Here is a 16,661-nt window from a genome sequence, read left to right as displayed (position 1 = left end):
GGAGAACTACTCAAAAGTTTGGAAGTGTCTGCTTATTATGGTGACCAGAAAAGAAAAGAGCATTTGGGAATGATGACCTGGAAGGATGAGCAGAGAAAGAAGGAATCATCTACTGGAGGTATCCTACACACACATCTTTTGCTTCAAGATGAGGTTGCATTTAGGATTGAGAGAAGACATTAAGTTAAACAGGAGATCAATAAAACAAGCAAACAGACTGAAAAAAACAAGCTTTGGTCTTTAAAGCCAAAATCAGACTAGAAGGTTCCAAAAAGTTATGAAATGAAACTGTCTGCTACCCAGTGAGAACGGAATATTTCCACACAGTTGAAGCAGCTATTTGGAAAACAGACATGTTATGTCTTAATGAGAAGAGGCTCTCACTTACCTAATACATTTGGCTTTCTATTGTGTTGTCATGTGCTTATTGCATAGTCCTCAGGATTTTTTCTGGAGAAGGTGCTTGGAGTATTGATAAATGAAAAATATGAGGGGCATGAATATGTGGGCTAAAATATTATATTCTTGAAGTTTATTTAAAAGTATACTATTTAGGCCCTTTTCAGAGTCCATGGGTTAAAATAGAGAACATAAATAAGTATTTAAGGGCAGACACATTTCTGTTCTCTCCTAGTGCCAGAAAGCTGGTACCTCTTTCCACGGCCTTCCTGGTTTCCAACCCTAGGTAGAAGTTGCAACTCTGTTCAGTCAGCTTATTTGGTAGAATCACTTGCATTAAAGAGTCTTACACTGTATGCAGGGAGAATGGCGCTCCCTGCCCACACTAACCAACAAGATGTCCAATCCTTGTCCCCTGAATTTGCTAGGTTACAAGCCAAGACGGAGTTAAGGCTGCTAATCAGCTAATCTTAAATAGATTATCCTGTTTTATCCAGGTAGTCACAATGTAAACACAAGGGTCCTTCAATGGGAAAGAGAGAGGCAGAAGAATCAGGACATGACTAGTCATTGCTGGCTTTGAAGATGGAAGTAAGATCTGCAGCCTCTAAAAGCTGAAAAAAAGCATGAAAGCAGATTTTTCCCTACAGCCTCAAATCTCATACTTCACCACTATACAATTTATCCATGTAACCAAAAACCACTTGTATCCCAAAAGCTATTGCAAAAAAAAAGAAAAAAGAAAAAGAAGCTTGGTTTCCACAAACACTTATCTTAAATGAGACACTCCTTTCTATTGATTCCAGGTCTTAAGATATAACTCTTTCAACTGATTTCCAATCAGAAACTCTTTTGAGTCCACCTATGGTCTGGAAGCATCTCGCCTTTGAGTTGTCCCACCTTTCTGGACTAAACCAATATACACCTAACATTTTTGATTAATGTCTGCCTGTAACTTCTGTCCCCCTAAAATGTACATAATCAAACTGTAACCCAACCACCTTGAGAACATGTTCTCAGGACCTCTTGTGACTGTACCTCTAAAATGTACATAATCAAACTGTAACCCAACCACCTTGAGAACATGTTCTCAGGACCTCTTGTGACTGTACCTCAGGCCTTGATCACCCACCCGTATTTGGCTCAGAATAAACCTCTATAAATATTTTACAAAAAAAGAAAAGAAAGGAAAGGAATGCAGCCTTGTTGACATCTTGATTTTAGTCCAGTGAGACCCATTTTGGACTTCTGACCTCCAGACTGTAAGATAAGTTGGTGGTACATTTACCACTAAATTGGTGGTAAATTTCTACAGCAGTCATACGAACCTAATGTACAGACAACACTCTTTCCCACACCATCATCTCCAAGGATGAAATGGGTGGATAAGCTAATCAAGGGCTGATACAGCTTCTATCTTCATGTTTCTTTATCCATCCACTCCAAGCAAACTCCCTTCCAGTTCTTTCCTCCATATAGCCAGCAAGAAGGGCAAGATGCAGAGGTTTAGAACTAAGAGGAAAATGGTTTTAGTCCTCAAACCTAGTGTTTACAATTTAGCTCTTTCACCCTTTTAAAAACAGAGTTAAACACTGGCATATAGGGCACTAGTGATATTTTCATTTCCATTATGCTAATGTCCCCTTTGTATATAGTTCCTGAAAATACTGTAGGACTCAAATATTATTGGATCTCAGGCCTTTATGCAAACTTCTCTATCCATTCTGAATACAATCGTATAGTTTGCTGGCTTTAATCTAATAGTTCCCCAGCCTCATTCATAACAAAATTAGTTATTAATAAGTTACTCATTTATTATTGACATATTTATTACTAATTCATCTTTGAATTGTTTTTATGAAAACAATAATAATTTCTAATATTGTCTTGGCAGCAACTTCCTGTCAGAAAGTATAATCTCTAAACGATGATAAAGAGACAGACTATGTTACCTTTCTCTTATTTCATATTAATTCTTTTCTGAAGCTAACAAACATTTTCTCTTATTAATATGTTCAGCTGTTTATTCAGTTTGTGTGTTCTTACCACGTTCTTATTTTTTGATCATATCCCTATTATTTGGGCATCTAAAAGAAAGCAAAATGTTATATCTACTCAAGCAAAATGTTTGTGGAACAGCAGTGTAAAAAATCTCTCAAATTTTAATTACACATGCTATTAATATCCCTAGTTTGCCAAGCTAAAAGTTCTCTATTTAACTATTATAATGTATCTTCTCTCACAGAAATATTATTTCTTCTGTTCTTTTTTTATTTTTGACATTTCCAAGTAACAAAAGAACGTGAACAAATCTTGCTGAATAGTATTTAAAAATATAAAATGAACATTTCAATGAAATATAAGATGCGCTCCGCCCCCAAAAAAATGTGCTTATTCACCTCACATACCAATACACAAACATTTAAGAACATTATATTAACACTATAATGGTAAATACCTCACAATGACAGTATAATTATAGATTTCTGTCATTAAAAAAAACCATAATAAAGCAGTAATTGACATTAACTGTCACTTTAATAGAAATTCTTAAATATGGACTAGAAATTGATTTAGAACATTTAAAAAGCAAACTACCTTATAGTTTAATAAGTCACTGCATTGCTTCAGCAGAATAAAGAAAATACCTCTAGCTCTAGCAGAATAAACTTTCAACTGAGCCAAAACAAAATATATATGTAAATATATATCTGTTAATAGTTCAAATAACGTTTGGAGTTGTAGTCCAAGAAGTACTTGTCAAAAAGACTTCACAAAAGTAAATATGTCAGAACAAATTAATCTGCTTTATGGAATTTACTTCATTCTCCACATCTTGCAGAAACTGATACTAATAAAAGCCAAGGATAATTAATTCATACTTAAAAACTTCCTTGGCGTATTCTCTAAAACTATCTCCACTAAGAAAATTATATACATTAAGACTCTAAATTCTGTTGGCTTTAAATTGTTATAATAACCAAGGTTACACGTTATAGTTTACAGTTCACATACTTCTAGTCAGATATTCCTCATATTTTTAGTAATTTTTGCAAATGTATCCTCCTCATCCTCATCAAGTGTCCTGTCATATTATCAGGATCCTCTTCAGAAACATGAGAAACTCTTCCTGTAAGGTAAGATACTGATTTGGTGATTACATCATCATGTATAATCTGATTTATTTTAAAGTCCTAAGCAAGCATAACTTCTTCTTTTTCATCCAGGTATTCTTGTTCAGGAACTACAGGAGGACTAACAAATTAAAGAACGAGTCACTGCAACTACTTAAGTAATTTTGTTTTTTCCCATTTACACCGCTTTTCTCCTGAATGGTTTTCACTGTGATAGTTTTTTTCCTTTGTTCCAATCTACTTGACATCCTATGCAGCTTTGAATTTCAACTCCCTGAGAAAGGTAAGCATTTGCTATAAATTCCAGTCAAGACTTTATATGTCTTTGTTAGTGCGTTGTTTTTAAAATATTCACTGGGCTTAAAGTGAAAGTCAAATGTATAACTTCAGGGGCTTGCCAGGAACTGAGAATTTTAGTTCAACATCTTTCAAATGTTTTAGAACAAATTCATCAATGCTTCTTCATCACAAAACCAAAACAATATTCTTTAAAACAGTGAATTAAAATCCAGAAATTCCTTTAGTATTGATATTTTCTTTAGCCTCCTCATCAGAAATTCCTTTAAACTCTTTTTCTTCAGCTTTGCCCCAGTTATTTCTTTGGGATCTTCCTTTACTCCAGCCTTTTTCTTCTTTAAACTTTGCTTGCTTGATGTTTGCCTCATGCTTTATTTGTCAATTGAAACAATACCCCGAAGAGTTAAACAGACCAATGACTAACAGAAATTTTTGAGTTTGTAGAATGGCAGATAGAAAAAGAAACCACTTGCTGAAACACAGAAACTTCCTTGCTTAGGCGACGAAAGAACTGGTTGAAATCAGTTGGAACCAGGATGTCCAACTAAAGTTTGTACAGAACAAGCTTGCTAATGTCACAGCCTAAATTTCCACCACATGGTTTATACTAACTCTTCCTGAATTTGCACATGGGACCCATGAAGAGATAACTGCACATGCCCAAGGACTTTGCAGGCCTCCTCTTCCCTACCACCAATCACCTGCTAATGCCAGTATCCATCCTCTAAACCTTTTGTAATAAAATTACTACCTTAAAGCCTGCACAGGGAGACAGATTTGAGCTTGACTCCTGTCTCCTTGGGTGTTGACTTCAAATAAAGCTTTCCATTTCTCAAAAACCTGGTGTCACAGTATTGCTTTTAATGCATCAGGCAGCAAGCCCCCTTTGCTCGATAAGACTATCACAACAGTTTTCTGAATTGGTCATTTTCATCTCAAATCATTGCAGAGGCTTAAATAAGGCACCCAGTTTCTTTCAAGATCATGAGTCTTCTTAGCAAACTTGATTTGTTCTGGTGCAGTCAGGCCAACTGTTGATGAACTCAGTGTCTATGGGTGTCTGTGGCCCAGCAAGCACCCGGGGCCTCAGGCTAGTCCATTGCTTTTTGGGCTACTTGTGTTCCCGGGCAGTAGCCTGGGCTGTACTGGTCCTCAGGGTCATCATGGGCCATGCCTTAAAGCCTGGAGGTATGCACGGTGTCAGTGCAGAGATGTGAGGAAAACTGACTCTGGAAAGCAGTGCCAGAGGGGAAGGCAAATGTCCAGGCTTGGAGGTTGCCACAGGGCTGGTGACCACAGCATGGGTGAAGGTGGACGAGGGGGATCTGAGGTGAAGACCAAGAGGAGGTGAGGAGGAAGCTGCAGCCAGGGTGGAAGCCTCCACAGAACCAGCTATTCCAGTTGCAGTGGGAGGAGGTGGAGTTCCCTTTTTATGCTGAACAGTATCCCATTGTGTGACTAAATCACATCATTTTTAGCCTTTCACCAATTGATGGACACAGGAGTTGTTCCGCTTTTTTTTGGCTATTATGAATCACGCTTAGAACATTTGTGTGCAACTCTTCATGTGGGCATATTTTCATTTCTCTTGGTAGATAACCTGGAGTGAAATTGCAGTATTGTATGCTACGTTATATTAACCTTTTTTAAAAAAATCAAACTCAGATTTTTAAAATTAGATTTAAAAGGGAACGTTTGATCAAGAATCAATCTTATTGAAATTAAAACATTCATTTACTCATTTATGAAACATTTATTGAATTAGACATTCTACTAACCATTTATTTTTACAAACAGTTAACTAAACATCACTGGTTTTCTTTGATAAATGGTAATCTTGCAAAGGCTCATTTATAGATACATCATTATTTCATGCTGTATAAAATTGACATAGGAGTTAAGAAGAAATCACTTAAGCAGAAAGCAAGGGTATGGGAGTCCTCGGTAAGGCTTTTTTCTTTAATGAAAAGAAGCTCCAAATCATTTGCTAACAAAGAGCAGCCTGTAAAGTTGAGCTGCAGACATAGACAAGCTGGCAGCTTGCATGGGTGAATGCCAGCAGAAACTAAGGACTAGACATTTTCAAGATGGTGGCTTCATCTTCCCTTCTCTGCCAGCCACGTGTTACACAAGATGGACCCAATCAACTGGAAAGCCCATTTGCATAAGATTAGGGTGGGGCGACCAGCCTTCCACATGCACCTTGCAAACGTCATACATGATGCAACCAATCAGAAACCACCTCCTCAAACCGGACTATAAAATTTGGCGCATTCACCACCAACCAGTCTTTTCCACTCGGAGACACATCATGGGCCATGCCTTAAAGCCACGGTGTCAGTGCAGACATCTATAGAGGAAGCTGTTTCTCTTTCCCTTCTCTTCTACCTATTAAACCTCTGCTCCTAAACTCCTCGTGTGTCTGTGTCCTAAATTCTCCTATAACAATGAACCCCAGGGTATGTACTCCAGACAATGTACCCACTTCAAAAGGGCTGAAAGTTCTTTTAAAAATAGAGGAAAGGGGGGAAAAAGTGTACTTAGCACCTAGTTTTGCACCACAGAAGGAAACTGGCACTCACAGATCCTGCTGAAGTTACTGGAAAGGGATCCTGGTTAAGACTCCAAGAGAGGGTTCTTGGATCTCCTGCAGAAGAATTCAGGGGAGTCCATAAAGTGAAAGCAGGTTAATAAAGAAAGGATGGCTACTCCATAGGCAGACCAGCAGCATGAGCTGCTGGTTGGCTATTTTTTAATGATTATTTCTTGATCATATGCTAAACAAGGGGTGGATTATTCATGAATTTTCAAGGAAATTCTCAGAACTGAGGGTTCCTCCCCTTTTTAGACCATATAGGGTAACTTCCTGATGTTGTTATGGCATTTGTAAACTGTCATGGTGCTGGTGGGAGTGTCTCTTAGCATGTCAATGCATTATAACTAGCGTATAATGAGCAGTGAGGATGACCGGAGGTCACTTTCATTCCCGTCTTGGTTTTGGTGGGTTTTGGCTGGCTTCTTTACCACAGACTGTTTTATCAGCAAGGTCTTTGTGACCTTATCTTGAGCCAATCTCCTATCTCATCCTGTGACTAAGAATGCCTAACTTCCTGGGAATGCAGCCCAGTGGGTCTCAGCTTCATTATACCCAGTCCCTACTCAAGATGGAGTTGCTCTAGTTCAAATGTCTCTGACAGTGATGGCCCAAGGAGTTCTGAGGTTTGGGGAAATGCAGTTGTACCGAGCTGTATGTGGGTAAGACCAGGGCATATGGTATGATTAGGGAGGTCTGGGTTTCTTGTGGTGACAGACATAAACTGAGGTAAAGGACATAAGATAAATGATATAAGGATTAGTCCTGACAGTCACAAGGCAGATAGTGCTGGTGACAATCTAATGCAAACACTGAAGATATAAATTCTAGTGAAATTCTTTTTTTTGAGATAGAGTTGTCTCGCTCTATTACCCAGGCTGCAGTGCAATGGTGCAATCTCAGCTCACTGCAACCTCTGCCTCCCAGGCTCAAGCAATCCTCCTGCCTCAGCCTCCCAGGTAGCTGTGATTACAAGTGTGAACCACCACACTCAGCTAATTTTTGTGCACGCACATACACACACACACACACACAAATATATATTTTTGAAGAGATGGAGTTTCACCATGTTGCCCGGGCTGGTCTCAAACTCCTGGGCTCAAGTGATCTGCCTGCCTTGGCCTCCCAAAGTGCTGGCATTACAGGCATGAGCCAGCCAAATTCTAGTTAAATTCTATGGTTCATGCAGAAATGGGTTACTCTACCCATTTTGAGCTTATTTCCATTTCTCCCATTTACATGCCAGAGTTTTAGAATGGCAATACTGGGATGCTATGTTAACTTCTATTTTAGATAAATCAGACTTCTTATTTAGGGGGTTATTTGGTAAAATTAGACCAACAGAAAATTGACTGTGACTTAAATATTCTTTTAAATTCATCCCAAAGTTACACTATGCAGTGGGTCCACTAGACTCATTTTCTTATGTTCTATTTTGACATTCCTAGTGTTTTATACACAATTAGTGTGTGATATCAGTATTAGCTTTTTCTGTATGAAATACTAGTCTCAAAATTAAGTGGTTTAAAATAACCATTGACTTAGCTCATGATTTCATGGCAATTTTTCCTAAATTTTTTTCTAGACTATTTATTCATATTAAAGTTGTTCATATTCCATATAAAGTATATGAAGTTTTAGAAACTACATATTTCTTAAAATGTTACAGCAAATGAAAATAATACTGTATTTTGGAATATGGGTTATCTACCCTCAGGGTAGATAAAAGTAAAAAACTAGTGTTGAAATGCAATGTACCAGCCCATAGCACTGAACAAAATGAACTTTCACTTACCAGTATTTACATTGTACCTATTCTTAATATAAACCACTCATTATATAGAAAAGTGCTTTTTGTTAGGTTTTTTAACTACATAGCCAGTTAAAAATTATTTTTTCCCACTATGGACAAGAAAGGGAAAATGAAGTTAGCATATAACAAGAGATACCTGGTTGGGTTGGATGACCAGCGTAACAGAGCCTCAAATTTATCTTCTGTTCTTATGCCTTCCCAGCCCTGGCCCCTGTTCCCTGACACTGGCCTGTGGAATCTCTGGACTACAGGATAACTTAACATCTCATCTACTGGTTAAATCTAGCAGGCATCGGAATCCCCTGGGAAAACTCACAAGGCCCACCTGCAGATTGATTTGGCTGCTCAGGAGTGGGGATTGGGAATGTGCACATTTAATAAGGTTCCCAGGAGGTTTTGACATGTCCATTCCCACTCTAGTTCTTACAGTGGAGTCTGGTTCCTGTGGTCTAGTGCAGCCACTTATCGGATGCAGGGGTCCCACCTCAGCTTCTCTAAGTGGTCACCCAGGTGGGATGCTCACTATCTTCTGAGGCTTATTCTGTTTTTCCTTTTTTTTTTTTTTTTTTTTTGGTTTGTTTTTAGCTACTCTATACTATATTCAGATTTCTGTCATTTTTACCTAATGTTCTTTTTCTGTTCCTGGATCCCATCCTGGATCAGGTGGTATGCATTCTTATAAGTGAAATATTAATATATCAAAATTACTCATTTTGGCAAATCAGTATATTTTCTGTATATAATTATAGAAAGTTCACATTGTTCTTCAAATTTACTTGTAAAAAATTATTTTCCATTTGGCACTAAAGTTTATTCTCAAGGTGTTCAATCTATGTCAGTTTTTATTTGAAGTTGTGTGATCTCTCTAAAATAAACATTAGTAATTACTTACAAAATGCTCCTTAGAATCTCAATCTGGTTTATTGTTTTAAATCGCAATGTTATACTTATGTGCAAAAATATACTTAAGGTATATTATGGTTGTAGGTTAACAATTGCATTGGCAAGATTCATTTTTCCTGTATGTTTTTACTGAATGATCTATTTTCCAACCCAAGGAAAGTATGAATATGTGGCATGATGACACAACACCTTTCCTAGAAATGTGTTTACTGACTACTGAGTGTGCCTTTGGTAATCCTGTTAAAAGCAATGGAAAAATAAAACATGACCAAAAATAAGAAAAGGAATAAGCCTTGTCTTCTGGGGATTAAAGCTGAATGGACCACATACCCACAAATGCACACATTAGAGGTCAGTACTATCACTACCATTATCTCAGTGAAAAATGAAAGCTGGAAGAATTTAATCGTCAAGACTGTGATCACTGGGGTCTAACTCGACTTCAAATCCCAACTCTGCTCTCACCAGCAGCTTATCCTTGGGCAGATGATTCAATTGCTTTAAACTTCAGTTATTTCAACTAAAAAATGAGGAGACAATTCTATCTCACAGAATAATGAGATAAGGCATATGAAGCAATTAGTATAGCCCTGCCATGTAATACTGAGCCCCTACATCATGTTGACTGTTATTATAATATATACCCAGCTGAAAACTCAATAATACAAATGAGCTGGGGAACATCTAAAACTATCATATGGAGAATGATTTTTGCTAACTCCAGCAAAAAGCAAGGCTGTATGACCCTTTATTTGGCAATGTTAACCATACTTTTCTTCTTTTTGTCCTATAGCCCCACTCTCAATAACTGCCATCTACATTCTCTCTTCTCCTCTCAGAAATCTCACTCTGAATAACTTAATGACCATAGTACTCACACTTTTTTAATTAAAGTGATGTGTCCTCACAAATACATTTCTCAAACTCAAAACATCATGCTTGAAATATCACTGAACTTGTCACCAAAGAAGTCACATGGCAATGATAATAAAGAAATATGCAGACTACACTCTGAGGATAGAGCTCTAAAGAGTAAAAACAATGGAATTTGGAAAAAATAGGAGTAAAGAATTGCTTTGAGCAATAAAAACTGAGATTGATAAGCCACTTTTCTTTTTGATATAGGCTTGTCACTCACAGCCAAAATCTCTCAGCAAAACCACAGCTACTGTTTACCCTCCTGAGAGATGCTCCTTCCTCACCCAACACGCATCAACCTTCCTAGAAAGGTTTATCCTCTTTACAATTCTTGTTAAGGTGGCACTGAATACAAAGTTACTCATGATCAACTTCCTTACTAGTTGTCAGTGTCTGCCCTTCTAGAATTTCATGTTTGTGTCAAAATTATTTATTGAGTTCCTTATAAACATGGTCATATCTATGCAGAGTGCTGTGGAGTTTATAAAGACGAGTAAGATGATACACTTTTGCCTTCCAGTTAGCAGAGTTAAGTTGATGCTATTGGGATCATATGCCCCCCAAAGCTGAAGATATTTACTTTCTTAGCCCATTAAAGAAAAAGTATGCCAAATCCTGAAATAGGAGATGCAAGTGTAGGAGTTCACACGGAAGAAAGGTCAGTTTCAACAAGGGTAATTCAGAGAAAAGTTTTGGAGGAAGTTTCAATAGAAATAGAACTACAAGAATGAGCATACAGAGGGCTAAAAATGTCTGACTAATAACAAAAAAGACATAAACATGTGAAGAAAAGAAAAAGAAAGGTAGACGATGGAGCCTGCCCATTTAGTTTATATATAAGCTCTCTTAAGATGATGTACAAAGGTATTTTCATTTTTACCATTTTTCTAATCAGCAGGTATGTTTTATACAAACTATATTCCATATGCCTCTAGAGTGTCTCTTAATTACATGCTTGCCCTCTCGCCGGTAACCCCACTCTGAAGAGGCAAGCCCAGGGCTAAGAATTTGAGACAAATAACACGTTATCATTAACGGCATTCTCTGAAACTGTGCCACAATTTTACCTTCATCTTCTCTGTCACTTGATTTCTAATATTTATTCAGCACCAAAACAATTCTTTTTCTTCCAAGACCAAGTCATATGACTATGTAACATATTAAGTTGCAAAAGATTATTACCATATTGTTCATATCATTTGTATATTTGTATTTGTTCTTTTTCCCCAAAGTTCCAGTAAAAAAGCTAGAGGGATTAGTTCTAGTCTTAAAAGACAAAAAAAATTTTGCTTAATTCAGAAAGAATATATTACATTAACAGGTCTAGGTGAGCTATTTCAAAGAGCTTTTTGTTCCTCAACTCCTTTATAACATCAAAAAGCTTTTGAAATCTAAATTTGCATCCAAAAAATTTATTGCAGAAAGACAATTTACATTGTCTTACATGAATATGTAAAAATATCTTATGCTCAATACTAAAACTGGTGGTCATATGACCTTTTGGCCAGTTATCTAAATAGCCACATTTTCATATTCTACTTTACACACTTACAAGCTAGAAGAACTATTAACTGTAGTTTACAAAAAATTAATTATTTGTAAGAGAAAATGAGTATCTTCTAAAAATATAAGCAATTCTTGAACTGCAGAAGAATGAGCCATCACATGTAAAACTTGAAGAAAAATTTTAAGTAGAACTTTAAACATGTAAATTAGGCAAAAACAAACAACACACAAAAGTGAGTGGGAGAAGAGAGAGGAAAGAAGGAACAAACAAAAACTTGTAAACTGTGACAATCTAAATTCAGGTTACTGCTGTCCTGATATGAAGATATAAGAGGAAAAAATAACATTTTAAACTCAAAAACTAAAATGTTTTACTATTTCAACATATTACTTCCTCCAGAACTCTCATAACATGTACATAAATAAGAATGTTTCTCATTTCTTAATTTATTAACAATGTATACATTTGAAAAAATATATACAATATTTCAAAACAAGCCCTTCAAGACTATATTTAAGCAATGACATCCAAGGAAGCAGAACTCAGGTACCATGTAATATTTGGAAAATATGGTAACTTGAAGATTAAGATTTCTCTTCCTTGCTGGTTACTCTGAAGTCTCCAATATACAAAGGTTGCTCCTAACGTGGTTTTCTTATTGAGCCAAGCATCTTGATGGGTCAATCCCAGTTTCATTTTCTCCAGTACTACAAAAATTAAAAAGAAATAAACAGAAAATAATTTACTTAATTATTCACAAAGATAAACAATAGTCTATAGTTTTAAAAAAGACTACTAATAAAATAAAAAGTGCATTAATTAGTTTGCTAAATGCTACCAAGAGGATTGCAATTAACTATACTGTATAGGATTCCTGAGGCTTCACTTAAAAATCAGTTTATATGAGAAAATAATTCAAGGAGAGGGTGTCTGCTGACTGTAAGCTCAAGATGAATGTAATTAACACGAGACAAGCAAAAATCATCTCATCCAGCACTAGGAAGGCAAAAATTCCACTGAATTCTAAAGTGATTTAGATAAAGTGATTTTGAGTAGTGTGCTTGGTTCTTGGTGCCACATTTTGAGAGGCTGTGAAAACCTGTAGCTTATCCCAGAGAGTGCAACTACTTCATTCCAGAAATGGTCTGGAAATCAAATCAAAGGAAGAAGTCGAGAGGCCTAGTGAAGAGCTGTTTTGGGGCCAACACTATTAATGGTGTTCAATACTGAGATATCCCCAGTAGGAATAAAATCAACGAAGATTTCTTTGTTTGGCTGAATATACACTGAGTCATCCATAACTCGTGCCCTTTTTGTTTGATACAAATATACTGGCATTCTCTTGGAGGAATTATGAATGCTGCTTACATGAATTCTGTTTCTAAGACCTTCACTTCATTATTACTCAGAGAAAAAGTGAAGGCAAAACACCTTGCTGACAAGTGTGTCTGTGTGTGTGTGCACATGCATGTGTACATGTACAAATGTGAAAAATGCCAAGATGTTGATGGCTTTTAATCTGACACATTTTAAAGTGTCACTCTAGAAAAAAATTGGCAAGATTTATTTTTCATGTGAATAAAAATAATGTAATTTAGAATTTAAGAAGCAATTTAAATATTTTTACTAAAGGCAATTATCAGAGAAAATAAACTTCCTAAAGAAATGGTACTCGGCACTCATATAAAACCACATATGTTTATTTGGTGCCTACTATGTGCCAGGAAGTGTCTCAGATTCTGTGGGAGATCTCAAATTAAGACAAAATGCCCGAGGACCAAATTAATATAGACAGAATCATACACACACACACACACACACACACACACACTCTCTCTCTTACATACACACACACACACACACACACACACACACACACACACTCAAAAGTTGGGGAAATAAGAGGGAACTCATTCCATGCAAAGAGAAGAGGTGTGTTGCCTGGAGGTAGCGGCGGTGAATCAACAGAGCTACAAAGAAGGTTCTTTTTGAAGGCTTTTGAAGATGATAAGGGTTGAAAGTGCAGGTAAAAGCCAAACTGCAAAGGGTCTACACTAACATACGAGGGAGTCTAAATAACTTGGAAGTAATTTGGACGCAATGAAAAACTGCATATGTACACGTGTATGCGTCTATGTATGACAAAAATGTTGCTATTGAACCAAAGGTCTCTAATATACCAGCATACCTTGTTTTATTGTGCTTAGCTTTACTGCACCTCACAGATACTGTTTTGTTTTGTTTTTTTTTAACAAATTGAAAGCCTGTGGCAACTCTGCTTGCGCAAGTCTATCAGAGCCATTTTTTCCAACAGCTTATGTTCACTTTGTGTCTCTGTGTCATAGTTTGGTAATTCTCATAATATTTCAAAATTTTTCATTACTATTCCACCTGCTATGGTGATCTATGATCAGCGATCTTCGTTATCACTATTGTAAATGTTTTGGGGCACCACGAACCGTGTCTGCATAAGATGGCAAACTTAATTGATAAATATTACATGTGTTCTGACTACTCCACCAACTGGCCATTCCCCTATCTCTCTTCTTCTCTTTAAGCCTCCCTAAGACACAACAATATGGAAATTAGGCCAATTAAGAACGCTATCAGGGCCTCTAGGTGATCAAGTGAAAGGGAAGAGTCGCATATCTCTGGCTTTATATTAAAACCTAGAAATGATTAAGCCTAGTGAGAAAGGCATATCAAAAGCTCAGATAGGCCAAAAGTTAAGACTCTCGCATCAAAGAGCCAAGTTTTAAATGCAAAGAAATGTTCTTGAAGGAAATTAAAATGCTACTCTAGTGAATACACGAATGATGAGAGCAAAACAGCTTTATTGCTGATATGGAGGAAGTTTTTGTGGTCTGGATAGAAGCCCAAACCAGCTACAACATCCCCATAAGCCAAAGCCTAATGCAGAGCAAGGCCTTAACTGTCTTCAATTCTATAAAGGCTGAGAAAGATGAGGAAGTTGCAGAAGAGAAGTCTAAAGGTAGCAGAGGTTGGTTGATGAGGTTTAAAGAAAGAAGCTATCTCCATAACATAGAAGTGCAAGGTAAAGCAGCCAGTGCTGATAAAGAAACTGCACACAAGTTATCTACCATTTAGCTAAGATCATTGATGAAGGTGACTAAGTAACAGGTTTTCAATGCAGATGAAACAGGCTTCTAATGAATAAGATGCCACATAGGACTTTCACGCTACAGGGAAGTCAATGTCTGGATTCAAAGCTTCAAAACAGGCTGACTTTCTTGGTAGGGGCTAATGCAGCTGGTGACTTAGTTGATGTCAATGTTCATTTACCACTCTGAAAATCCTAGGGCCCCTAAGAATTATGTTAAATCTACTCTGCCTTTGATCTACAAATGAAACAGTAGCTTGGATGATATCATATTTGTTTATAATATGGTTTACTGAAAATTTTTTTTTTTTTTTTTTTTTTTTTTGAGACAGAGTCTCGCTCTGTTGCCCAGGCCGGACTGCGGACTGCAGTGGCGCAATCTCGGCTCACTGCAAGCTCCGCTTCCCGGGTTCACGCCATTCTCCTGCCTCAGCCTCCCGAGTAGCTGGGACTACAGGCGCCCGCCACCGCACCCGGCTAATTTTTTGTATTTTTAGTAGAGACGGGGTTTCACCTTGTTAGCCAGGATGGTCTCGATCTCCTGACCTCATGATCCACCCGCCTCGGCCTCCCAAAGTGCTGGGATTACAGGCGTGAGCCACCGCGCCCGGCCGGTTTACTGAAAATTTTAAGCCCACTGTTGAAGCCTACTGCTCAGAAAAAAAGATTCAAAATATTGTTCATTGACAATGTACCCAGTCATCCAAGAGCTCTGATGGAATATACCAAAAGATTAATGTTGTTTTAATGCCTGCTAATTCAACATCCATTCTACAGCCCATGGATCATGGAGTTACTCTACTTTCAAGTCCTATTATTTAAGAAATACATTTCGTAAGGCTATAGCTGCCACAGATAGTAATTCCTCTGATGGATCTCAGCAAAACAAATTGAAAACCTACTGGAAAGGATTCACCATTCTAGATGCCATTGAGAACATTTGAGATTCATAGGAGGAGGTGAAAATATCAACATTAATAGGAGTTCGGAAGAAGTTGATTCCATTCTTCATGGATGACTTTGAGGGGTTCAAGAGTTCAGTAGAGGAAGTAATTGCAGATGTGGTGGAAACTACAAGAGAACAAGAATTAGAAGTGGAGCCTGAATATGTGACTGAATTGCTGCAGTCTCATGATAAAACTTGAGCAGATGAGGAGTTCCTCCTTCTGGATAAGCAAAGTGGTTTCTTGAGATGGAATCAATTCATGGTGAAGATGCTTTGAACATTGTTGAAATGACAACAAAGGATTTAGAATATTCCATAAATTTAGTTGATAAAGCAACAGCAAGTTTTGAAAGGGTTGACTCCAATTCTGCAAAAAGTTCTACTCTGGGCAAAATGCTATCAAACAGCATCACATGCTACAGAGAGATCTTTTGTGAAAGGAAGAATCAACTGATGTGGCAAACTTCACAGATTTACAACTACTCAACCTTTAGCAACCACCACCCTGATCAGCAGCTATCAACATCAAGGCAAGACCCTCCACCAGCAAAAAGATTACAACTCACTGAAAGCTCAGATGATTGTTAAGCATTTTTTAGCAATATTTTTAAGATAGGCACATAGTTTTTAAAGACATAATGCTACTGCATAGTATCATGTAAACATAACTTTTATATGCACTGGGAAAACAAAAAAGTCATTTATTGCAGTGGTCTGGACTTCAGATCAAAAAATCTTTAAGGTATGCCTTCTTTTTCCCAAATACTTTGAAATGTCTGTGTCTTTAGGAAAAAAATAAAAATAAAAAACATATAGCAGAGACAGTCCCAAAATATTCAACTACTGTACATTTGAAGAATTTTTATAAAAGGTTTTGACAGAACACAGAGGGAAAGAAAACAACAGTATAAAACTAACCTTACTAAAAGCAGTTAATGAAGCAAACATGGCAAACCCTATCAAGGATGACATTCAAGTGTTTAAAAATCTTCTTTGGAGAAGATAAGAAAATTAAATTTGTATGAATGAG

At 37.1% G+C, this 16,661-nt stretch overlaps 1 protein-coding gene across 3 annotated transcripts in view; it reads right to left on the bottom strand.

Moving 5' to 3' along the window:
* Positions 1–5,563: 5,563 nt before the first annotated feature.
* The window catches only part of PIK3C3 (phosphatidylinositol 3-kinase catalytic subunit type 3), a 132,597-nt gene continuing 121,499 nt past the window's right edge, over positions 5,564–16,661 (bottom strand). For all 3 annotated transcript variants that reach the window (NM_002647.4, NM_001308020.2, XM_047437550.1), the window contains one exon: positions 5,564–12,271. In NM_002647.4, the coding sequence (NP_002638.2) occupies positions 12,257–12,271 (15 nt within the window). In that variant the 3' untranslated portion in view covers positions 5,564–12,256. The remainder of the gene's footprint in view (positions 12,272–16,661) is intronic.

The sequence above is a fragment of the Homo sapiens genome, chromosome 18 (assembly GCF_000001405.40).
Source record: "Homo sapiens chromosome 18, GRCh38.p14 Primary Assembly".
NCBI lineage: Eukaryota > Metazoa > Chordata > Mammalia > Primates > Hominidae > Homo > Homo sapiens.
This window is presented reverse-complemented; position numbering and strand designations above follow the sequence as displayed.